Below are 26485 nucleotides of genomic sequence, written 5' to 3' on the forward strand. Positions count from 1 at the left end.
CCACTGGGATTTCCCAAAGTACCTTCCTCACTCCTCCAACTCCTTCTCCATTATCTGCTCAGCTGTTCTTTGATCTTGTCTAGTTCAGCTCTAGGTTTTTATCCTCAAGTGCTCTGTGCCTGAAAAAATGGACCTTGGTATTCCCTAGCACCAACCAAGCCCTCAAACTGTCTTTTTATCAAACGACTCTTCAGACACCACCTCCTTCACAAATTATTTATATTTTTACAAGAGAGAGCTCAAGTTCCTCTGGCTTCACTCAAATGCAGGGAAATAAACTATACTTATTTATAGCTTTGTAGAGTCATAAACAATAGAAAATACATAACTGTGAAATAAGAAATGAATACTTATGAATGTCAGTAATTATTCTAAAAAGAGAAGTATTATATAAGTAGTACTTAAAAAGTGTGCAGGGTTACATTCCTTTATATATTTCACTATGATCTCTACAATCTTACTATAATCTACAAATCTATAATGTAATAACTGATTAAGATACAGATTTAGTTTTAGCAAGATTTGTCATTAATTTCCTTCAAACGAGTAGGATTTTCCTTTTTAAAAAACTAGATAAAGCTTCCCATTCATTTACAAGTCATTCTACATATTATTTTTAAAGTTTATTTGGGTTATTTCTTAGTTTACCACATAGTAACCAAGCCAAGATTCGAAGCTATTATAAACATTCTTGGCTCAATTTTGCCCCCTGCAGGGAGTATGTACTTCTTACATTGGGATTTAAAAGTATGAGAGATGGAGAAAACCTTAACATAAAGTTGACTATTCCAAATCCAGCGTTGCCTCATCAGAGAGAGGCAAAATCTATTCTGGTAACAGAATTTTAAGACATTATAAATCTTTCAAAATAATCTAGTAGTAAATTATACCCAGAGTGGCTTCATTTTAGGCACTATTCAATGTGAAAATTGAATTATTGGATAAAATATTAGAGATATTTTAATAAATGATTTCTTAAGCCTAGCTAATTATAAAAATGCCCTGGGGTACTTTGTAAGGGCCTCATGCTATACCAATGTTTCACAAACTTCACCTTATAGCACAATTACTTCGCGGGCTTTAAAAAATGCTAATGTTTGGCCATGGGTCCTATGGCTCCAGAGATTCTTATGTAATTGATAGGGGATGAAGCCTGAGTGCCGAGATTTTTAAAAACTCCCTGGTGATGATAATAAGCAACAATGGTTGCAAATCACTGTATTCAGAGTACTGAATTTGAATCTCCAAGGAACAGATGTGGGAATCAATACTGTTGACAAAAATACTCTGGTGATTCTTATGACCAAGCAAGATGAGTAAACACTGATCTAGCCCAATGTCCTCATTTTTCAAACAAGAAATTACTTGTAAATTGACACGCTCAAGAACACAGTAATCTGTTAAATTCTAACTAAACTCTCTACTGTGACATTCAGAACTTAATTCTTTTTTTTTTTAAGATGAAAACCATCTTGTTCAAGATTTGGAATGTACTTTGTGTGCTATTTCTAAATCAGATGAAGACATTCACAAACATAAGGCTTTGCCCATATGCAAAAAGTTTGCATGCATTAAACCACGACATTAAGTATGGTCATGGGAAACACAGTCTTTAATTCGCAGAAGATGAGGCACCCACAGAATTAACGTTTCTTGATTGAGTAATATGCACTTAATAAAGTGCAACAATATTAGTCTTAAATGTCAGCTGCAGTATCACAAACTATATCATCTTCGATTGGAAGCCCCTCCTCCTGGCTTTCTGTGTGACTTTAGATAGATTTCAGGTCAAAAACTTTTTAAATGTGATAAAAAAAATTCCTGGAAAATACAGTAGAGTAAAACCATATCACAGAGTCTCCCTTTCCCACAGCTAATATCAACAACAACAACAACAACAACAACAACAACAAAGGTCAAATGAAACTAACAACACTTTTACTGTCAGCAGCTAAAGAAGAAATATGCCCAAATTCCTGACATGTTTGAAAAACAACAGACAAGGAATGAAACGGAAGAGTGTCATAACCCCTCTTCCCTCAAATGATATAGGGAATGAAAATGATGAGACTCTGACAATTCTTTTTTTTTTTTTTTTTTTTTTTTTTTTTTCAGACAGGGTCTCGCTCTTCCACCCAGGCCGGACTGCTGTGGCGCGATCTCGGCCCACTGCAAGCTCCGCCTCCCGGGTTCACGCCATTCTCCCGCCTCAGCCTCTCTCGAGTAGCTGGGACTACAGGCGCCTGCCACCGCACCCGGCTAATTTTTTGTATTTTTAGTAAAGACGGAGTTTCACCATGTTAGCCAGGATGGTCTCGATCTCCTGACCTCGTGATCCGCCTGCCTCGGCCTCCTAAAGTGCTGGGATTACAGGCGTGAGCCATCGCGCCCGGCCGAAATCTGACTATTCCTTCTGAAGAGCTGAGTTCGTCTTTAGCTTATGGATAAATTAGTTAAAAATTATAGGACTAAAATCCCTACCTACCCACATAACATCGCATTCGAAGAAAAAACAAAAACAAAAACAAAAATAAAAAAACAGAAAGGCCCAGTCATTGTGATCTCTACCAGATGGGAGAAAACTGGACAGTGAAGACAGAATTATATCATCACACAGGGTTAGTTATCCTCAGCATTAAGCACAAAGAACATAAGAACAAAGGATTCTCAGGGAGCAGCAGGCTGGGGTGAAGCCCCTTACAATCACAATAAGGAAGACAGACTAATGCTGAGGAATGATGAGACAAATACAGAAAACTAACACCAAGCAAGATTTTCTGATAGCAATGGTGCATCAGGTCCTGTAGCTGAAATGGGAGCAATCATTCAAATTTCAGGGATATCCTCTTTGAAAAAGAATACTTCCATGACAAGAGGGAGTGATCCTGACACAAAATATGTGAAGAATAACCTGAGAAAGTACAGAGCTCAGATCCTTTCATCACTGCTGCCCAAATCCCAGCTGTGCTCTTCCTTTCCTCATAGGGGCTCAGAACATAATGCACTTGAAATACCTGGCTCTCAAACAGGAGCTAGGGAAGGAAAACAATCCCTAGGTAATTCTGAAAGGGAGAAAAGAAAAATTCATCTATACCAAATTAATGCAAAAGCCCATTTCAAGGAAGCAGAAGACAGAAAGAAATGGGTCGGGAACTATGTACCATACTATAATTTTTTCCTAATACACAAAGCAGATTAAGAAAAGAATACTGCATTGTAGGAAAAAATAATGAGAAAACAAAAGAAAATTATGCATGATTTCTTTGTATTACAAAGCTATTTGTTAATAAATATATAAGGAAATGAATTCAGTAACAAAAGGGCTAAATAAAGTCTAAATGATCAAACAAAACAGTGAAATAAAAGAGAAACTTCTAAATAAACTAAAAACAAAGTAAGATATCTTATATGATTATAAAACCATTACACTAATTGGCAAAAACAACAGAACAGACACTGCTAAAAAGAATTACTGATAAAGATCAAAAGAAGTAAAGAGTGGATAAAAGATCAAAAGTCTAAAAAAAGAAATCAATATACTTGAAGTAGAGAACCTAAAAATGGAGAAAAATGACTCGAAGACACAACAGAACATTTCTCCAAAATTAAGGAAGAAGACTATCATTCCAAATCAAATGATCACATGCTTTTCACTAAAACTAGTACAGAAAAAAATATATACATGATTATAAAGTAAAAACCCTTTGGGTATCCAGGAAAAAACAGCAAGTGACTTAGGAGAAGAAAGATCAGGCTAGAGTCAGACTTCTTCATAGCACACACAATGCCAGAAAACAATTGGATCCTATCTACAGAAATATGGAAGGAAAAAGGTACAAACAGCTCAAAGAAACAATAGAACGTTTCTCCAAAATTAAGGAAGAAGTCTATCATTCCAATCAAATGATCACATGCTTTTCACTAAAACTTATACAGAACAAAAAAAAAAAAATAATTATAAAGTAAAAACTCTTTGAGCATCCAGGAAAAAACAGCAAGTGACTTAGGAGAAGAAAAATCAGGCTAGAGTCAGACTTCTCCACAACACATTCAATGTCAGAAGATAATTGGATCATATATACAGAAATATGAAGGGAAAAAGGTACAAACACCCAAGTTAAACTTATCCAAGTTGGAATTTAAGTATAAAGCAACAAATCAACATTATACACAATAAGAAGGCACTCAAGCAGAGCCTAGAAAAATCACTTGACAAAAATTGAATCAATCTATAGGTGAGGTGAAAAAAAGCAACAATAAAAGATATCATACTTACTCCCCTTATGGTGGAGAGATAAAAGAGATTGTATAATGTTGGTAAATCAAGAAATTGTGGCCTAAGTATTTTAATCAGATTTTAAAATTTTACAAAACAAATGAGATTAGGAAGTGGTTTATATAATGTTGAAAGTAAATCTAAAATAATAATTTTTAAAAAATTTTGCACTAATTTTTGTAAGAAGAAAAGCTTTCAAGGAACAAAAATAAGCAGGCAGAAAATTCCTCTTCTTTATGTGCTATGACACTTTCTTTGTTCAACATAAATTTAGCTTTTAACTCTTTGAGAAGAAGTGATAGGACAATAAATTATAAAAACATACCCTGACTATTTTTCTAGTTACATTTCCTGACTTCCCAGCTGATGTGGTTTGGCCATTCCCCACCCAAATCTCACCTTGAATTGTAATAACAAGGGTGGGGCCAGGTGGAGATAACTGAATCACAGGGACAGTTTCCCCCATACTGTTCTCATGGTAGTGAATAAATCTCAGGAGATCTGATGGTTTTACAAAGGGGAGTTCTCCTGCACAAGCTCTCTTGCCTGCTGTCTGTAAGACATGACTTTGATCCTCATTCACCTTCTGCCATGATTATGAGGCCTCCCAGACATGTGGAAATGTGAGTCAACTAAACCTTTTTCCTTTATAAATCACCCAGTCTCAGGTATGTCTTTATTAGTGGCATGAGAACAGACTACTAATACAGTAAATTGTTATCAGATAGTGGGGTGGTGCTGTAAAGACACCTGAAAATGTGGAAGAGACTATGGAACTGGGTAACAGGCAGAGGCTGGAACAGTTTGGAGGGCTCAGAAGACAGGAAGATGTGGGAAAGTTTGGAACTTCCTGGAGACTTGTTGAATGGATTTGATCAAAAAGTCCAGGCTGAGGTGGTCTCAGATGGAGATGAGGAACTTGTTGGGAACTGGAGTAAATGCCACTCTTGATATGCACAGATACTGGCAGCATTTTGCCCCTGTCCTAGAGGTCTGTGGAACTTCGAGCTTGAGAGAGATGATTTAGGATATCTGGTGGAAGAACTTTCTAAGTGGCAAAGCATTCAAGAGGAAGCAGGTCATAAAAGTTTGAAAAAAATTGCAGCCTGACAATGTGATAGAAAAGAAAACACCATTTTCTGGGGAGAAATTCAAGCCAGCTGTAGAAATTTGCCCAAGTAATGAGGAACCAAATGTTAATCCCCAAGACAATGGGAAAAATGTCTCCAGGGCATGTCAGAGACCTTCATGGCAGCCCCTTCCATCACAGGCCTGGAGGTCTGGGAGGAAAAAATGGTTTCCTGGGCCTGGTCCCCAGGCCCCCCACACTCAAACCCCGCTCTATGCAGCCTTGGGACATAGTGCCCTGCATCTCAGCTGCTCCAGCTCCAGCTGTGGCTAAAAGGGGCCAATGTACAGCTCAGGCTGTTGCTTCAGAGGTTGTAAGCCCTAAACCTTGGTGGCTTCCACATGGTGTTGGGCCTGTGAGTGCACAGAAGTCAAGAATTGAGGTTTGGGAACTCCACCTAGATTTTAGAGGATGTATGCAAATGCCTGGATGTCCAGGCAGAGGTGTGCTGCACGGGTGGAGCCCTAATGGAGAACCTCTGCTAGGGCAGTGTGGAAGGGAAATGTGGGGTCGCAGCCCCCACACAGAGTCCCCACTGGGACACTGTCTAGTGGAGCTGTGAGAAGAGGGCCACCATCCTCCAGACCCCAGAATGGTAGATTCACCAACAACAACTTGTACTGTGTGCCTAGAAAAGCCACAGGCACTCAACACCAGCCCATGAAAGCAGCGTGAGAGGGGCTGTAACCTGCAAAGCTACAGGGGCGGAGCTGCCCAAGACCATGGGGACCCACCTCTTGCTTCAGCATGACCTGGATGTGAGACATGGAGTCAAAAGGGATCATTATGGAGCTTTAAGATTTGACTGCCCCACTGGATTTCAGACTTGCATGAGGCTTGTAGCCCCTTTGTTTTGACCAATTTGTCCCATTTGGAACAGGTGTATTTACCCAATGCCTGCACAACCATTGTATCTAGGAAGTAACTAACTTGCTTTCAATTTTACAGGCTCCTAGGCAGAAGGGACTTGCCTTGTCTCAGATTAGACTTTGGAATTGGACTTTTAGGTTAATGCTAGAATGAGCTAAGACTTTGGAGAGTTGTTGGGAAGGCATGATTGTGTTTTGAAATGTGAGGACATGAGATTTGGGAGGAGCCCGGGGCAGAATGATATGGTTTGGCTGTGTCCCCACCCAAATCTCACTTAGAATTGTAATAATCCCCATGAGTCAACAGCAGGGCTAGGTGAAGATAGCTGAATTATGGGAGCAGTTTTCCCCATACTGTTCTCATGGTAGTGAATAAGTCTCACAAGATCTGATGGTTTTACAAAGGGGTTTTCTCCTACACAAGCTCTCTTTCCTGCCGCCATTTAAGATGTGATTCTGCTCCTCATTTGCCTTCTGCCGTGATTGTGAGGCCTCCCAGCCATGTGGAACTGTGTGTCAATTAAACCTCTTTCCTTTATAAATTACCCATTCTTGGTTATGTCTTTATTAGCAGTGGCAGAACAGACTACTACAATGGCCATCTGCTCCTTGAAAAACTCATACTGATTATGCAGACAATAATTAGTAACATTACTTTCTCAATATCCCCAAATAGAAGTCCCAAAAAAGATGTGCACAATGATTCTGGAAGCATCCCTCACTGTGTTTCCCTAACCACAAGTAGAAAAAAAGTGTATGTGGCCAGAAGCATTAATCCCAAAACCTAAACCAACTTATACAAAAGGAGAAACAATTACTTTCATTGTTCAATTTTTTAACAGCTTTCCCGAGGTATAATAAACATACAATCAGCATCATATATTTAAAGTGTACATGTATGGTTTTATACATGTATAACCCCATCATCATTACAACCTATATAACAACATATCCTTCACTCTTACAAGTTACCACCTGTTCCTGTGTCATTGTTCTATCCTGCCTATCCATACCTTTGCATCCCTAGGCAACCACTACTCTGCAAGTCGTCATAGTAGTTTTAATTATCTAGAATTATATAAAAATAAAATCATAATGTATTTACTCTTTTTCAACTGTCTTCTTTTGCTCAGCCTAAATAATTTAAGGTTCATCAATAATGTACATATAAATAATTCATTACTTTTTTAACAAACAATAAATATTCCGTTGTATGCACTGTATGAATATACAACTTGTTTCTTGATTTATCTGCTGATGGGCATTTGGGTTGTTTGCAGTTTGGCACTATTACAAATAAGGCTGCTACAAAGCCTTTGAGTACAAGTTTTTGTATGAATATAAGCTTTCATTTAGCTGGGGCAAATAAAGCGTGAAATAGCCTAATCATATGATATGCATATACTTAACTTTTTAAGAAACTTGACAGTTTTCAAAAATGGTTGTACCATGTACTTTCTTACAAGCAATGCATACAGTAGAATGACATCTCATTGTGATTTTAGTTTGCATTTCCCTAATGATGAATGACATTGAAAATCACAATGAGATACTGCTCTACTGGACTTCATACATTCCTGGTAAGACTTTTGCTGTGATTTTGATCAGTCCTATGCTGAATTCATACAACAATTTTGGGAGAAGAGATACCCCACAATATTGAGTCTTCCAACTAATGAACATATGTATTTCTTCATTTATTAGGTCTTCATTAATTTTGTTCAGCAATGTTTTGCAGTTTTCAGCACATGGGCTTCTGCATCTTTTGCAGAATTATCCATGAGTATTACATAATAAATAAGATGATGTAAATGGTATTGTTTTCAACTTAGATTTTCAACTGATCATTGTTAGATATGGAAATGCAACTGCCATTAGTTTGTATCCTGCAGCCTTGCTGAACTTACTTATGAGCTCCAGTAGATTTTTGTAAAGTCCATCGGATTTTCTACATAGACAATAACATCATCTACAAGTAAAACAATTTTACTTCCTCCTTTCCAAATACATGACTTTCATTTCTTTGTATTGCCTATTGCCATTGCTAGGACCAAACAGTGCAATGTTCAACAGAAGTGACGAGAGTGACTATCCTTGCTTTGTCACCATATTACAGTTTTTTTGGAAATGCCCTTCTTTCATGTTGAGGAAATTCTCTTCTATTCTTTATCTTGCTGACTGTTTTGGGAACAGATTTTGGCATCAGAATTTGTCAAATGCTTTGTCAGCTATATTTAGATGAACACTCTGATTTTTTAGAATTTGTTCATATAGTGAAACACGATGTTTTTTAATATCATAGGATAAATCTCAATTGGCTATGATCTATTATCCTTTTACCATATTATTGATACATTTGCTAAAATTTTGTTGAGAAATTGTATATCATAATTGATATTTATATGTTGTTTTCTTCTTGATATGTCTTTTTCTGGTTTTGGTATCAAGGTAATTTGGCCTCACAGAAGCAGTTGGGAAGTTTTAACTCCTGTTCAACTTTCTAGAGAAATCTACATAGAATTGGTATTTTTGCTTTCTTAAATGTTTGGTAGAATTCACCAGTAAAGCTTTTTGGGCCAGTAGTTTTCTTCATGAGAAGGTTTTAAGTTACACATTCAATTTATTTAATTGATACAGGGATATTCATGTTATTTACAGCAGTCCCTTAGTATCTGCAGGGAACTGGTTCCAGGATGCCCAGAGATACCGAAATCCATAGAGGCTCAAGTCCCTGATAAAAAAATTATGTAGTATTTGCATATAACATACACACATTCACCCATACACTTTAAATAAGCTCTAGATTACCAATAGTACATAATACAAGGTAAATGCTATATAAATGGTTGTCTTACTGCTAAACTTTTTAAGTTCATATTATTTTTTGTTGTACTGTTATTTTTATTGTTATTTTCAAATATTTTTGATCCATGGCTGAATCCACATGCATGGAACTCATGGATTCAAAAGGCCACCTGTATTCTTAATTGAGCTTTGGCGATATATGTCTTTCAAGAAATTATTTACCTTATTTTTGCTTTTGAGTTGTTCATTATCTACTTAATATCCATTTAATATGATCTTTCTTGCTACATGTTCCATGTGCAATAAAAAGGAATGTATATTATCTGCTGCTGTGTGGCAAAGTGTTCTATAAATATTAAATAGGTCAAGTAGATTGACAGCAGTGCTAAAGTTTTCTATGCCCGTATTGACTTCTTACCTACTCTCAATTATTGAGAGGGGGTACTGAAATCTCCATTAATTATGGATTTGTCTACACCTCCTTGCAGTTCTGTTTTTATTTCATGTATTTTGAAGCTATGCTATTAAGTGAGAGAACACTTAGAACCATCACATCTTCTTGATTAACTGACCGCTTTATTATTATGAAATGGCCTTCTTTATGCCTGATACTATTACTTGCTCTGAAATCTTCTTTGTCTGATATTAACTTAGCTACTCCAGCTTTAATTTGATTACTATTAGCCAATTATTTCTTTTTACATCTTTTAGGTCTTAATCCATTAGTGTCTTCTATTTAAAATAGATTTCTTATAGGCAGCATATAATTGGATTTTTAAAATCCTACATAACAATCTTTATCTTTCAATTGGAGTGTTGAGACCATTTACATTTATTGTGATGATTGACATGGCTAGGTTTCAATCTACCACTTTCTATTTGTTTTCTAACTATCCATTAATCATTTGTTCTTCTTACCTTCTTTTGTTGCTTTCTTCTTTATTATTCCATTTTATCACCTTTTGTTGGCTTTTTAATCATTACTCTGTATTTTTAGTGCTTACTCTAAGGTTTACACCACACATCTTTAACTTATCAATGTCTATCTTCAAGTAACATAATTCTTGACATATAGTATAGGCACATCCCAGCCTCTGTGTATTGTTTTATTATTTTACCACCACATCTACTCTACACCCCATAGGACATTGTAATTAATTTTTGTTCAGTCAATTGTTTCCTAAAAAGATTTAAAATACTAAGGAAAAGTATTATATATTTACCCACATAGTTACGTTTTTTGATACTTTTCATTCCTTTCAATATTTTTCAAAGAATATTCAAAAATATTTGGCAATATTTTTCTTCAGCCTAAAGAACTGCCTTAATATTTCTTACTGTGCAGGTGACTGGAAAATGAATTCTTCCCTTTTATATATTGGGAAAAAGCTTTATTTATTTTACTTCTGATTTTGAAAGACATTTTATTAAATATAAAAGCCTAGACAGAGAATTGTCTTTTTCAACTTTAGTGCTCTAAATGTGCTGTTCCACTTTCCTTTTTACTTGTACTGTTTTGGACAAATAATTTGTTGTTATTTTTATCTTCTTTTCCTCTATACAAAATGTATCTCTTTTCTCTGGCTACTTTAAGATTTCCCTGTATCCCTGGTTTTGAGAAATTGATTATGATGTATCTTAATATAATTTTCTTCAAGTTTCTTTTGCTTGGGGATTCATTGATCTTGGGTCTGTCAGTTTATAGCATTTATCAAATTTGGAAAAATTTTGACCATTATTTCTTCAAATATATTTTTTCTGCCATCTATTATTTTGCTAACTCTAAATATATGTATTTAGTTTGCTGAAAGTTGTCACAGAGCTCACTTATGCTCTCCTACATTCTTAAGCCTTTTTTTCTTTGTGCTTTATTTCAAATAATTTCTGTTGCTATGTTTTCAGGCTCACTCGTCTTTTCGCCTATAATGTCTCATCTCCCATTAATCCCATCCAGAAAAATGTTCACCTCAGACATTGTAGTTTTCATCTGTAGAAGTTCAATTTGGATTCCACATCTCTACTTAACATTTTTAATCTTTCCTCCAACTTTAGGGACATAAGGAATACCTTATAATAACTACTTTCATCTTCCAGTCTGTTAATTCTAACATCTTTGTCAGTTTGGGGTGAATTTTAGTTGATTTTTTTTCCATTTTGATCATGCTCTCCTGCTTCTTTACACAAAATTTTTGATTGCAGATATTTGATTAGATACCATGTATTGGGATTTTTTTTACTTTATTTAGTGCTTAATATTTTTGTATTCTTATAAATATTCTTAAACTTTCTAGATAGATGTTTGATCCTTTTAGCTGTTACTTTTAAAATTTATTCTCCACAGCCAGAGCAGCATTTAGTCTATAGTTAATTGTTCTCCACTATTGAGGCAACACTATTCTGAGTACTCTAACCAATACCCCACCAATTATGTGACCCTCTAATCTGGTTAGAGAGGAAGGCAGTATTTCCAGGCTTATGTGCAACTCTGAGTATTGTTCCTTTCACTCCTTTCAAGCAGTTCCTTCTCCAGTCTCAGAAAGATTCCTCACATGAATGTGATTGTCAGTATTCTGCTGAAAACTTGAGAGACAGCCTCTGTAGATGTCACAAGTTCTCTCTATATATCTGTTTCCTCACCAGGATTCTGCCCTGAGAACTCTAGCCATCTTGATCTCCCCAGAACTTAGGGAGTCTGCTAGGCCGTGCCTGGATTTTCTCACCCCGTAGCACAGGAGTGTTCAATCTTTTGATTTCCCTGGGCCACACTGGAAGAAGAATTGTCTTGGGCCACACATAAAATACACTGACGATAGCTGATGACCAAAAAAAGAAAAAAGAAAAAAAACCCTGATAATGGTTTAAGAAAGTTTACGAATTTGTGTTGGGCTGCATTCAAAGCTCTCCTGGGCTGCATGAAGCCTGTGAGCCACAGGTGGGGCAAACTTCCATGTTGTAGCACAACCTGGAAAAACCCTTTCAGGCAGCAAGCTGCGGAAGTCAAAAGGTTCACACTGTTGTTTCCCTTCTCTCACGGGTCACTGTTTTTTGTTGCTTAGTGTCCAATATCATGAAAACCACATTTTCATATATTCTGTTCTGTGTTTTATTCTTTTCAGGCAGGAAGGCTAATTTATTCCTGTTAGTCTATCTTGGCTAAACACAGAAGTCTGAATTTTGTTTTAAGCTCTATGAGTTTTGAATATTTTAGATTATATACATAAAGAAATTCTGAGCCTATGAATTCAGAGTCATAATCTGAAATACATATATATGTGTGTGTATTCCCTAGGCTAGATAAGAAAATAATCCCCAAACGACAAGCCATCCCTTTAATTCAATGGTATCATGTGCCTTGTTATCAGTACTCATATTGAACTGACACAATATAGTTCTAAAGAGTGGAAATACATTATTTTTGCAATGTCGTGTTTCACTAGAATCAAAGTTGAGGCTAAGTATATGGGTTCTGAGGTTATACCACCAGTGTTCCAATCCTACTTTCTTATTAGCTGAGTTAACATGAGAAAATTGCTTCACTTCTTTATACCTCCATTTTTTTATTCATGGTGTTATGTTAAAAAATATTTTGGGTTGTTAAAAATATTAATTCCTCTAAAGTATTTATCATAGTAAAAGTTCAGTAAATGTTATCTTCCCTCCAAATTATATAATTTCCAATTTATATTAAAAATCTAAGTTTTGTACACATAAATCATAATCCTAGTGAAATATTATACAACTTTAATCTAGCAGACATGCAGTGAGTTCTAAGAGATTCCACCCTTCATTCTATTTTGTTTGCCACTCCAGAATGACGTTTGTGGAGAACTGCTTTCAAGCATACAAGTCATTCATAGCTCCTCTACTCAGTGCCTACTTGAGGGTATAGAGGGCAGCCTCTTGACTCCAGCATTTCAGACTTTGTAAATTAAGGTCTGTGTCTATTTTTCCAGCCTCATCATCTACTCTTTCCTTTCACTAACTGTGTATTACAACCACACGAAATGATTAATCTCTGTGAACATTCAAGGACCTTTATTATCTCTATACTTATTTTCATCCTATTTCTTCTACTTGGAATCCCCCATGTTTATGCAGTCACATGTATGATGCGTCTTCCATTATGCTGCACTGTGTGGAGTATAAGAAACACAAAGGCAATTTTAGAAAAGTATCTCTGCTCTTAAGAGGCCTACAGCCAAGCAAATACACAGTCACAACACAATGAAAAGAGCTATTCTAGAGGAATGGATATATGGCAGGTAAAAGGACAGGACAGACTGCCTTAGTTTTGCCCAATAAATAAGATGGGGGTAGGAAGGTAGGGTGGTCAAAGAAAGTATCACAGATGGACTCCTCTCTGTACTGTTTGAAAAACTCTCTGACCTACTTCTTCATTCAGATTTAGCAATATGCAAATCTATAGATTACAAGTACTTGGCTTAAGTAAACTCTACCTATATATGAGTTATACTATAAACTGTTTAGAATAATAACTTGTGTATAGGAAAAGGGCAAACTAAGACATTTTCAAAAGACCAGTTAAGTAATGAGTACTAATAGGAACACTGACATTTACAATAAAAACATGTCAAAACAAGATAAGTAGGGTCTAATTCAACTGCATAAAAACAAGGTCATAATAATGATATACAATATTTTCCAGTCAATCTGTACCGTTACCAAAAATCCCACAAAAGGTAAAATAGTGAAACTTACGCTGTTCACAACTGATGTCCCAGAGATCCTGAAACAGTCTCTCTCTCACCCATTAGGACAATTTTATCTAAGACAGCATATCAGGCCAGGCGCAGTGGCTTAAGCCTGTAATCCCAGCACTTTCGGAGGCCGAGGCGGGTGGATCACCTGAGGTCAGGAGTTTGAGACCAGCCTGGCCAACGTGGCAAAACCCCATCTCTATTAAAAGTACAAAAATATTAGCAGGGGTGGTGGCGCATGCCTGTAATCCCAGCTACTCAGGAGGCTGAGGCAGGAGAATAGCTTGAACCGGGGAGGCGGAGATTGCAGTGAGCCAAGATCACGCCACTGCACTCCACCCTGGGCAACAGAGCAGGAACCCGTCTCAAAAAAAAAAAAAAAAAAAAAAGCATATCAGATCTTGGCTTAATTTTTAAATTATAGCTGATCATTTATTGAGCAGTTAACTCTGTGCTAGACACAGGCCACGGCACTTCATTTCTTGTTTAAATCTCATCTCAGGATTGTGAACTTCTCTTAAAGTATCCACTTTATTCTAAGTCTTTCCACTGTCAATAAAAACATCATCAAGCCTTATTTGTATGACTTAAATAGGTCGCAACATTCTTTTTTCTCCCATTTGAGAGTCCATTTTCGAATATTCTATTTCTAATAACCAGCCACCACATCTATCATTTTGATAACTGGGGAGTCCTCTTAAAACGATATTAGCATTAATGACCATTATTTATTTCATTTATTGGATGCCAGGCATTATATCATTCAATCTTCACAAAAATGATTCAAAGTTAACATAATAGATATATATTATATATGTACAAACAGGCATCAGATAGGGCAATCACATTTCTAAAGTTACATAGGTTTTAATATTAAGCTTTGATTTTGACTACAGCCTGTGTTCTAAAAATACAACAAGTAACACTTAGTGGAAGCTTACCATGTGTCAGGCACACTGCCTATTGTGTGTCAGGTGCTTAACACATTATTGCTTTTAATCTTTCCAACGAATCTGTGAGGTGATTATGGGTCCACAACTGTTTATCTGAAACCCCTGGAGACAGGTGTTATTTAAGAATTTGTAACTTTTGAAATATACGGTATTTGTTACATAACTTCCCCCATATACATGCACATCTGATTTAATTACTTTTGAGTAAATTCTATATAATAACAACTGATTACATTTAATTTGTGTGTGTCTGGTAGTTTTTCCCAGTTTCTACACCAATTAACCTCTAATGTCTTTTAATCCGATGTTGAAACAGGAAAACAAGAAAAAATATTTATGGAGTTAAAAATATAAAATATTCTAGCCTTTGTATTTTATATTGCAGGTTTCCCTGCCTGTAGGTAGATAAACCAAAATCAAAGAAAGAGCTGGAATAAATGAGATACACACTGCTTTTGTTCAAAAGAGAATAAAATATCAGGATCTACTGGGCTGCCAAAAGTTCAGTCTTATTTTACAGATCTAAACAGCAGACTCTTAAATTAAGGATTAAGAAGTGAAAGCCTGGCCTCTCCCAGGTAGATCAATCAGTGAATTGATTTTTCTCCCTGATTTAAGTCCTTCCTTTATACAACACCAAGCGTCTCCACTTCTCTTCTAGCATTACATCTCTCTTTTCTTATCAGTCTTCATTTTCTCCTTCCCCTCTTTTTCTTCCACTTCCCACTGTCTGCTTTTCCTTCTCTAATTTTCTTTCCCTCTGTTCTTAATGGCATTCAAGATAAGGGTATCAACTGAGCTAGTGCCAAAAAGTTAAGTTCCCACAGATCTTTTGGTATTTCTCTGATGCCCATTTAAGGCTAAGTTTAGCTTAGAGAGTGCAAGGTTATAAAATGCTCTTCTTAACGGCCTCACAAGTGCAGAAATGTGTGTGTGTGTGTGTGTGTGCCTGAGGGTACATGTGAGTCTGACATCTGCAGTTGGTAACATTCTCTCTCTGCTTATTGTAATTTTCATTCTACTAAATCTTCAGAGTGCAAGAAAAAGGGAGACATTTTATTTCTGCAAAATAAATATCAGCTTAGTAATTAGGGTAATTGGTCATGAATTATGGAGTTTAAATAACATTAGTATAAGATTTAATCATGATATATCTCAGGAATTAGTCTGATACTGTTTTTCCCACTGTAGTAAGCTATGTTTTTTCATTCTACATTCATTTGACTGAAAGAAAGACTTTTGTAATTTGTCCTGCATTAGTGAGCATTTCTGAGCTCTCTTACTTTTTGTTCCTACTCCTATTACGGTATTTACTGTGTCTTATTGCATCCTCATGTGTAAAGTAGATGACTAGTTTTTCAATAATTTGCTTCTCATTAATAAGAAGTATATATTGGTTTTTCTTATAACTCAAGTTCCAAGTACTTAGCCTAATACTGTAAGAGTACTCAACAAATATTGGATGAATAAATATTAAATATTTAAATTTAAAAATTAGTTTAGTTACACTCTTGTATATTCTAATTTGTAGTTAAAAAGGTAAATTGAAGTAAACACCCCAAAGCACGTATAACTTACTCTTACATCTTGCTTGTCCTTTTGTGTTATTACAACGTGCAGTGTACGTTATAGTCTCCAAGACATTAACGGTAATTAATCCTAAGTGTAGGAATTATGAGTAATTAGATTCTCGTCTTTCATCTTGTTTTATTTCTAAATTACTTTATAATAAACATGCATGACATTTTAAAACAGAAAATTACAATGGAACTTATTTTCTTAAAAACATTGTTTATACATTTCTTGAAAGTATCAAATTCACTGGGTATAGAATTCTATGTAATACCAGCTTGTTCTCGTCACCATATTCCCTATATTCCTGGTCATACTACTAATTTGCTATGTTACTTGAATGTTCATAAGCTGTACAGTCACCCTGAATACTTTATAATACATTCCAAGTCCATTGGATTAACAAGTATATCAGTTATTTCTAAACGAACTTGAGTCTGGGTCTACATTATTCTCAGAATTCAGGAAAATCCAAATTTGTCCATCTTTACACCTGCTCTTGGAGGATTTGGGTAAGGTCTAAGTAGATTTAATGGCTACTACAGTTACTTTACTTCCTGAAGTATGGGTGAATAAATAAAAATGTATACAATAATTAAAGAGTTTATAATTAGAAGCCAAGTTGCCAGCATGCACACCTGAGTGGCAGGTTGTGGTTGACTCCTTTCAGAGAAGTTGTCATCATCATCTTCCCACTGAATTAGACTATATGGGATCTTACACATCTGCTAAATGTCCTGGTTGGACAGCAGCAGAATAATGCAGAGTTCCAGCAAGCAGGACTCTGATGATGAGCAGGACTGTTTCATGATGGGGTGAGTGAGTGAGAGCCCCTGACTAGAGATATCCAGGCAGAGATGGAGTGACTCCTTCTCAGCACGCTTTTAGACCTGGGTTCACGCATTAGGTCTATAACTGGATGATTTCATAAAAGGTAACCTAAATGGAAATCAATCTATTTTCATTTTACATAAAGGCTTGAAAGTTTAGATTTTTTGAACTCTAACATTTGCAACTTGATCTCACCTTTAATTCCACTGAAGATGCAGATTAACAAAAGTCATTTTTCTTTAAAATGTCAATAATTAACAAATAATTTTCTAGTCCCTTTTTCCTTTAAGTTGTACTAAAAAAATGTACATTTTAAAGGAAATGTTACTAAGCACCAGATTATTTGAAATTTTACACAATTTGCATACTATTTTAAGGAAGTCATGTTTACATGATAAAAACCATTTGTAGTAGTAATTTATGTATTACTTAAAAGGGTCTGGGATATATTTCTAACAGATGAGCCTTATATAAACTTCAAAGAAAATTCCATTACAAAAGATTTCAACAATCCTTTAAGTCAAAAAAGTTGAAAGAAGGACTCTAGACAGGCCACATTTGCGATCAAGTAATCACCTATTTGGTTCAGAAATTCCTCAGGTAAATCTATGTCTTGTCTACCCACCCTCTCCAAGTTTCTACTGATAAAACATAAGGTACATTTTAAGTGTTAGGGAAAAAACCCATCAGGTCTTACCATTGAATGCTGACTCCATTTCTGTTTAATCTCAAGTGTATATTAAGTGAGATATTTATTTTTTCTCAAATTACATTTGTTTGGAAAGAGATACATAAACAATTGAGTACCTTCATATGCTATGGCCACAAATGAGCTGTCTGCATTTTACAATTAGCCTGTAACCACAAGAACTCTTTTTTTTTTTTTTGATGCTAAGTATAAAAGGTCATTGTACATATCAGCAAGTGTGAAAAGAGAACTCCAAAGAAGTTCAGGTTACCCACACTCAGACTCAAGTTAAATACCATAATCATGCCAGCCATTGGTTACTACTCAGTCTCTGGGTCTGGAAACCAGTCTGCCAAAAGCCCAGACAGCTAGAAAAGCAGCCATGTTTTATCATATGACTGATCCCAAAAGGCCAATTTAAAGAGAAATTATGTGTTCTACATTAGGAGGAACAAATATCTCTGATTTTACAAAGGTCTTTTTATTAAGATAACAAAGAACATATATTTTGAAATTCAGTAATTTAAAAATATATATATAAACATTAAACGCTAACAGGGCACATGAGCTTACTCACCAACCTCAACATAAGTGAGTTACTCTTTTTGCATCCACACAGACACAATGTTTCTTGAAAAAAATTATGAACTTCATTTTTAGTAGAATGGGTTATTATACATGTATAAATTCAATTTAAAACATCTCTTTAAAATATTAAAGTTCATGGTTGCTATGTAAGAGTGCAACTTGTTAACTCCTTCTTTGAAAGAAATGAAGCTTTAGAACTTCCATCTGAAGAGTAGTAAGTAATAAGACTTTTAAGAAACAAACCAACATTTAAAAAATATCCCAAGGGTAATCCATTAACTAATTAATCTTACAATTTTTTTTGGAAAACATGCTACTGTACATGTAAAATATATGTAAATCTTTATTGAATTCTCAGAAATTTAGTAAGGACTAACAAATCTAATGAATGAATAACTGTTGAAGAATAATGACGTAATTCCTGGAAGCCTCTGAGTTGAAACTACTCACCCAATTTCTTTGCCAATTACAAATTGACTTTGAAATCTGCTTCAGGATGAAAGAGCTACAAAGTTTACCTGACTCCCAGAAAAATGAAGATCATCTCTACCAATTATGATTATGTTTGAAATTTTAAATTTATTCTACATTCTATGATGTTCAAATAAACTTAGCGTTATCTAAGAAATGTGTGTTATTCCATTCTGAATAATTTATCTTTTTATGCTAACGTTTCATAATTAATTTTTCTTTCCCAAATAAAAGCATCTGGTAAAGACATTTAAATTCATCCTAAGTGTAACATTAAACTCTTATCATTTGTGGAATGTACTTCAGTCCCAAGAAATCTCAATTACATTAAAAATAATAAAAATATCTTGATGTATATATACATCCAAATGTATGTGAAAAAGATTTTACTTTTCAAACTTCACCATATAATTGTAATTTCTCAGTTTCTTCTCCAGGTTAAACTTGAAAAGCAAGATGAAGTTTTGTCAGGGTAATGAGTATAATTTTTAAAATATAAGGCTTTTTCACGACTCAAAGCCTCTATATGTATATAAACCTTGACCCCTACTTATCTGTAATATTTCATTGACATAATTTCATATATTCTAGTTTCACAATAAAGAAAGTGCTGTATAACTTGATGCCACAACAAGCTCTGGAAAAATGCACTGAGGATGTAAATAACAATGAATGATTATGTAATATTAATTTTAGCTCAAGTTTGTTTTTACTGTTATGGCTCGATGCTAGTTATTTATCACATTTTACGAAGTTTAACTTCTTGATATGTCATGAAACTGTTTACCATCAGGACATTATTTTAGATAGCTTACACACAGCACACACACTCTTTTGCTCCTTTGTACTTGTGACCTGGGAGACCAGGAGTCAGGCTTCCGCTGGCCTAGAGGGAGCCAGCAAACTTGAGCCACTCCCCTCTCCCCACTGCACTGCCCTGCACCGCAACTCAGCTCAACCTAAAAGATCACACTCTCTAGAATCCTTGAAACATAAATATTCCCATGATCCATAATGAGGGATCAATGCCAGAGATTTTTCAGCAGTCTATATAGGTCATGAGTTTAACTGCTATTCAAATCATAGTAAATTGGTTTCACATTGGCTTGACTAACCATTTATATGAATAAGTTGGACAATGCGGGATGCCTACCCAGCATCCATCCCTCCACCCCTTTTCTCTTACCAAAAGGAAGCTCTACTGGCTTCAGATACCCAATCATCCCTTCCATGTGACTCTGGGGAAGCTTAAATCATCTCCTGCTGCAACGACAGGTCCTGGTAAGTCTACATCAAACATATTACCACCACCACCCCCCACTTTGCCATGAACTATTTTAAAAACTCAAGCTTAAACCAGGCAGCGTACAAAGTGTCTCTGGAGGCTATTGCTGGCCCACAGTTGGAGGAGATGTTTTCTGTCTCAAGAGGTGAAGAAGAAACATGTTTCCTTAGTGACTGCTGACAGCCATTTTACAAACACAAAGAAGTTCAGGCTAGGACAAAAAGTGAAACATAAAGGAGGGCAGGGTCAAGAGAAACAGAGTAACAGGGTAAAAGCCTTGATCACATCCTACCTGAGGCCCACTAGCTCGAGACTTTTTGTTGTGAAATGTTATACATTTCCTTATTGCTTAGGACAATTTATGTCAGATTTTGTGGGGTTTGCAGCCAAAGATAACTTGACACTATTTCATTTTTAACAGAAGCAGTACTTTCAACAATGCCTCCTAATTTGAATTAAGCACATTATTAGAATTTGCCATCAGTCACTCACTCAAAATTACCCTAGAGCCATAGCCCCAGAGTTGGCCGCCCAAACTGAGTTCACTGGTGGAAAAAGTTGAGACACTTCTGCCACTATTAGCTATGTCTCAAAATCTTACCATTCAACTTAGAGACATAATCAAAGAAGAGTAAAAATATAATTTCATTAGCAGAATCTTCATTGAATAGCAAAAAATTATACATTTTTACAATAAAATAGACTTCTTCAGAAAGTAAAGTCTCATTTCTCTTCTTACCTCTTTCACACTGTGGACCAGTGAACCCATAAACACAAGCACAGCGGTTGGGTCCGATGCAACGTCCACCATTCTGACATCCATTTTCACAGACAGCTGCATACAAAAATAGCAAGAAGCTCATTATATAGCCAGTCTCCAAGCACAATATAGTAGTGCAGTGATGCTGCCAATAAAGGATCTTATGTTAAATTATAGTACATTATGTTAATTAAACTGCAACTTGTATAAATTACACAGGTTAAAGTTCACATCTTAAATTTAAGTAAATATATTTAAGTATATTCAGACAAAAACTTACATACTTCATGTAAATCACACTGTTAAGCAAGTGTTTGGTAAAAGGTTTTTTGTTTTTTTTTTAATCAGAATCATATTCGCTGGCTCTCATGCTCATTTAGAATGTAACTACTCAACCCTCAATTTCTGTACTACTAACCCTATAATCTATATTTTCACTGGTAAGGAATGAATAAAATATGGGAAATGAAGGAAAAAAGAGGCCGATCCCGGTAGCACAGGGAAGGAGTAGGAGGAGAAAAATGTAATAAGAAAAAATGAAAATGATATGGCAATAAAGGGAAAAAGGAAAAATCAGAGAAGAAAAGGAAGCCAAGGGGGGAAAAGGTAAAGCTGGAAGGGCAAAACAAAGAAAAGGGGGGAAAATACCATCAACGTTAGCTATAAAATGCCAAAAGAAGTAACCAATGTGTAGAGACTATTTGCAGGTCATAGAAGAAAAAAAGGGAAAAAAAGCTGTGTAAGCATAATATGTTTTTTCATATAAAATTAACTCACAATCCAAATGTTTCCAAAGTCATGCTGACAAACACACAGCACACACTCTCTTTTGCTCCTTTAGCCTTGTGACCTGGGAGACCAGGAGTTAGGGTTCCATGAGCCCAAGAGGGAGCCAGTAAACTTGAACCACTCCCCTCTCCCCACTGAACTGCCGTGCACTGCAACTCGGTTCAGCCTAAAAGATCACACTCTCTAGAATCCTTGGAACCTAAGTATTCCCATGATCCATAATGAAGACAGCTGAATTCAAGAATCATATCTTCTCCAGGAGAAAATACTGATACTGAAAGTGTGTCTCCCTATCTACCCACCCTGTTGAAACATTTGTCCTCACAAATGAATTAGAGGATTATATTCTATGACCTGTGTCCACAAATGGAGTTGAAGGACACTAATTACTCAAATTAAAGGGAAGTGGGGGGCCAAACACTTCAAGTGAGGTACATATCATAAAATGGGAAACTCAATAAGTATACTGATATCTAGTAGCACAGTAATGCTGCTATTTCCTTATCAGGTATGTTGAACCGGATAGATTGCCTATCATCTCCAGAATGCACAGAGTGATTTCTGTTCTGCTGATGATGGTCAGAAGACTAAAACGCACTTGGAAATAAAAGATGATCTTGACCTTAAAGCGTCACTGTGCCAATGGCCTCAGAGGCATTTGTTGATAAGTTACACTTCAATTAAAGGCATGATTCTGTGTGTCTCTGCACAAGTACAGCTCCCTAGGAACCATACCCTTCTGCTTCTTTACCTATCTCCAGCTGAGTCCTACATAGCACTTCCCACTCATCATTGCCTTGAAATATGGGCAGACTTGAAATATAAGTAAATACGAAGCAGAAAGGAAAAGGAAAAAAGGCCACGGGGAACATGAAAAAAATAAAGATGGATGGGAAGGTGGGAAAAAACAAAACCTATGAGAGCATTCTGTGCAGTAATTCCATAGAAACAACTGCCAGGATTTGAAGATTCCTACATGTATGCGTATGTTCATTGCAGCACTATTCACAATAGCAAAGACATGGAATCAACCCAAATGCCCATCAATGATAGACTGGATAAAGAAAATGTGGCACATACACACCATGGAATACTATCCAGCCATAAAAAGGAACAACATAATGTCCTTTGCAGCGACATGGATGAAGGTGGAAGCCATTATCCTCAGCAAACTAACACAGGAACAGAAAGCGAAACACCACATGTTCTCACTTATAAGTGGGAACTGAACGATGAGAACACATGGACACTGGGAGAGGAACAACACACACTGGGGCCTGTCTGGGGAGGGCAGGGGGAGGGAGAGCTTCAGGATAAATAGCTAATGCATGCGGGGCTTAATACCTAGGTGATAGGTTGATAGGTGCAACAAACCACCATGGCACACATTTACCTATGTAACAAACCTGCATGTCCTGTGCATGTATCCCAGAAATTAAAATACAATTAAATTTTTAAAAAAGAAAGATTTAAAAAATCAATTGTTAAAAAGATGCACTGCAAAATACTAAGTCCAAAGTAATGTGATCAATTAAAATGTGTGGAATTTTCTTTAAATGCTATTGAGCTGTAGGAAATTTAAATTACAGTCACTTTCCCATGTGTTCTCTTATCACAATGCCAGCCTTTGGGGAAAAGCTGTCCACACTGACTGTAACACTCAGAACACAACCTCCGGTAAATGGAGGAAGGGCTTCTCCCACGGTTTTCCAAAACAAAGTTTCCAATTCGCAGGTAGAACAAGGCTGGATGAACCTTGAGTTTCTCCTAGAAAGAGCTGGCCCATTACAAATTAAACCTAATCTAATCTGTCTAGGTTAGACTATCAATGCCTCCCTTCTCACTAAAGATTTTTGGAGGTTTGCAAATTATAGTTATTGTTTATAAAAAATATTTATCTTAGCTTATAATATGGGTTTCTTGTTATTTTTAATGAATCAATAAATATTTTAAATTTCTCAATTTTAATTTCTAATACTATAAATATTGAAGGAACTCATATAAACAAAAGACATTTGAGGACCTCAATAATTTTTTAAAATGTAAAGGGATCCTATGAACAAAAAGATCAAGGGCCACTGATACAACCATTTGCTTGTATTTCTGTCTCTCATGTGAGAGTGGGTTCCCCCAGGACAAGGGCCAGATCTGTTTGCCTTTGAATCCCTGTCACCTACTGTGGTATCTGACAGACTGCAAGAACTCAACAAACTCCCGCACATCAAAATTTCACGGCATTTTTTCAAGTACTTCGCAAGGCAGAATGGTGCAGTGAACAAATAATGAGCTCTGCTGTCCCCAGCACCCACTCACCACACCACCTCTCTGATTCTTAGCTTCCTGGCCTGCAAAAAGAGACTTAACAGTTCCTCCCCTACAGACGTTTGAGGACTAAATAAAATAGCATATAAGACAAAGTGCACAGTGGCTGCACGCTGAAGGTATTCTACATTCTTAATTTCCTTCCTCTTTTAACTATAGAACATTTGTACGAAAATGTTCTGTAAGACAAGACGTCTGCAGCAGCCGAAGTTTACATTAAAGAGCAATAGCAAAAGAAGAGAAGCAGGAAATACAGATAAAAGTAGAAGCAAAAACCAAAAATGGTGAATTTCCTTTTCTCAAATGAATTATGATGAAAGGTATTTTACAAAAGAACATATTTTTTTGTAACAAAAAAGAATGGAAACAGCAACTTATATTTCAACTGGAGTCAGAAAAAAATTGGAAAATGCCTAAATTTCCACCACAGAAGGAACGCTGACCACTCAGGAAGAAAACTGTGCTTACACCTAGCATGACAGTGGCATGAAAGGCAAGAGAGCAAAAGATGTACTACAGATAGAAGTATGAGCTGGTTTCTTAGCTGCCCACCAAAATCCTAGAAGGAGAAAACACACTGTTTTTCCTGTGTGGGTTGGTTGCATACTGTAAAAGCTCAGATATTTAGAGGACATTTTTATTCAACAGATATTTACTGAGCACTTACTTTGTGCCAGGTAACAGGTCAGGTATATATTTTTATTAGACAGACTCCCTTACAACTCAGCAGAGGCGCAGACACTTGGGCATAAGTCAAGTCTGAAATCATGATTGTAATTTCTACACAAATGTGTTAGAAAAATAGCATTCTAAACCAAGTTAAAATGTTAACAAGAGGAAAGAAACAAAAGCCTACTGTCTGACATAGGAAGGTATAAATCTTTGCTATTGGTGCTGCCTTCTTCCTTCGTTTTCTAGGATACCACACTCTCTCAGTTTTCATTCCATCCTCATGTCCATTCTTTCTCACTCTTCTTTGCAGGCTTCTTTTCCTCTTCCCCATCTCACAATGTTGGGCTGAATTGGGTCTCTGTTTTCAACTCTCTTCTTTAGCTACAACAACTTCCTAATGATCTTTATCTAAGCCTATGATTAAAATATTATCTATATAATAATTCGGTCTATACGGTCCCAAATTTATATCTCTATGTCCAACCTCTCTCCTAAGATCAGAGTTCATAGATCTTTGCACTTATAAGTCTGACAGATTTCTCAATCTAATGAATCCAAAACAAAACTCTTATCCTCAGCCCCACCACTCCTTACCCAACCCACTCCCTATACAGTATTTCCCGTATCTGGAAATGACATCGCTATTAATCCAGCAGCTCCACCAAAACCCTCTCCTTGTCACTTTTGATTTTTACTTTTTCTATTTTTTTTTATCCACCACGCCTGGTCCATCAGAGTATACCTCCAAAATACAAGCTCAATACAACCACTTACCACATCTTCAGCGACTACAGCTGCAGCATTGTTCACTAGCACCACTGTGGTAGCCTCCTACATGGCCCTTTCCTTTTCTCTGTTATAATCCAGGCTCAACACAGCAGACAGGTGATTTTTTTTTAATGTTAACCAGGTCACAGAACACCACTGCTCAAAATGCTCCAGTGACTTCTCATAATATTTAGGCTGTAGTCCAAATTTTGTTCCTTGGCCTACTACAAGGCCCTATACCTCCCTCTCCAAACTCAATTCTTACCATTTTCCCTTTCCCCACTTTACTCCAGGGACATGGATCTTACGGTTTCCAAAATACATGGAGTCTGTTCCCACTACAGGTCCTTTAAATTTGCTTTTCACTTGTCCAGAACAATTTTTCCATAGATTTAAAGGCACAGACTCGGATCTGTGTTTCAATGTCACCTTCTCAGAGACCCCTGATGTAAAATAGCAGACAACTGCTAATCCTGACCCAGACTCTCTCCCTCTTACCCTGCTTTATTCTTCTCCTAAAACTTCTCGCTACCTAAATGTGTATTAGGTATTTACCTTTTTAGTATTAACTGTCATTTCTACCAGAATATGTGGCCAGGGTATTATCTTACCTATTCACAGTAGTTACTCAATCAACATTGCTGAATGAAATGGATGAAATAGAAGAATGCTTTCTAAGAAGTGCTGTCTGTTTCCAGGAAAGCAGCTAAGCAGTCTAAATGTTTTATAATGTTCATTTTAGCAAGCATCCTATTTCCAAGACTTTTCTGGATTCATAAATTGAAAAATGTTCCATCTGCTTCTTTGCTCTCAGTATTGTAACACTCTTTCTATATAAGACGACTTGGAAAACATCTTCCTTACACCATTCCTTGAGCTGGTAATCTATTAGTTATCATACCTTTACCTTCTTACTTGCTGACAAATAAATTGTGTTTGCTACACATTTTGCTTCCCCTATATGTTCTATTATCCCTGAGGTAAACATT

General features: G+C 36.2%; 1 protein-coding gene across 2 annotated transcripts in view; it reads right to left on the reverse strand.

The window, feature by feature from the left end:
- Positions 1–26485, reverse strand: part of FBN2 (fibrillin 2) — a 280337-nt gene that overhangs the window by 240440 nt on the left and 13412 nt on the right. For both annotated transcript variants that reach the window (XM_017009228.3, NM_001999.4), the window contains exon 5: positions 20925–21020. In XM_017009228.3, the coding sequence (XP_016864717.1) occupies positions 20925–21020 (96 nt within the window). The remainder of the gene's footprint in view (positions 1–20924; positions 21021–26485) is intronic.

The sequence above is a fragment of the Homo sapiens genome, chromosome 5 (genome assembly GCF_000001405.40).
Source record: "Homo sapiens chromosome 5, GRCh38.p14 Primary Assembly".
Classification (NCBI taxonomy): domain Eukaryota; kingdom Metazoa; phylum Chordata; class Mammalia; order Primates; family Hominidae; genus Homo; species Homo sapiens.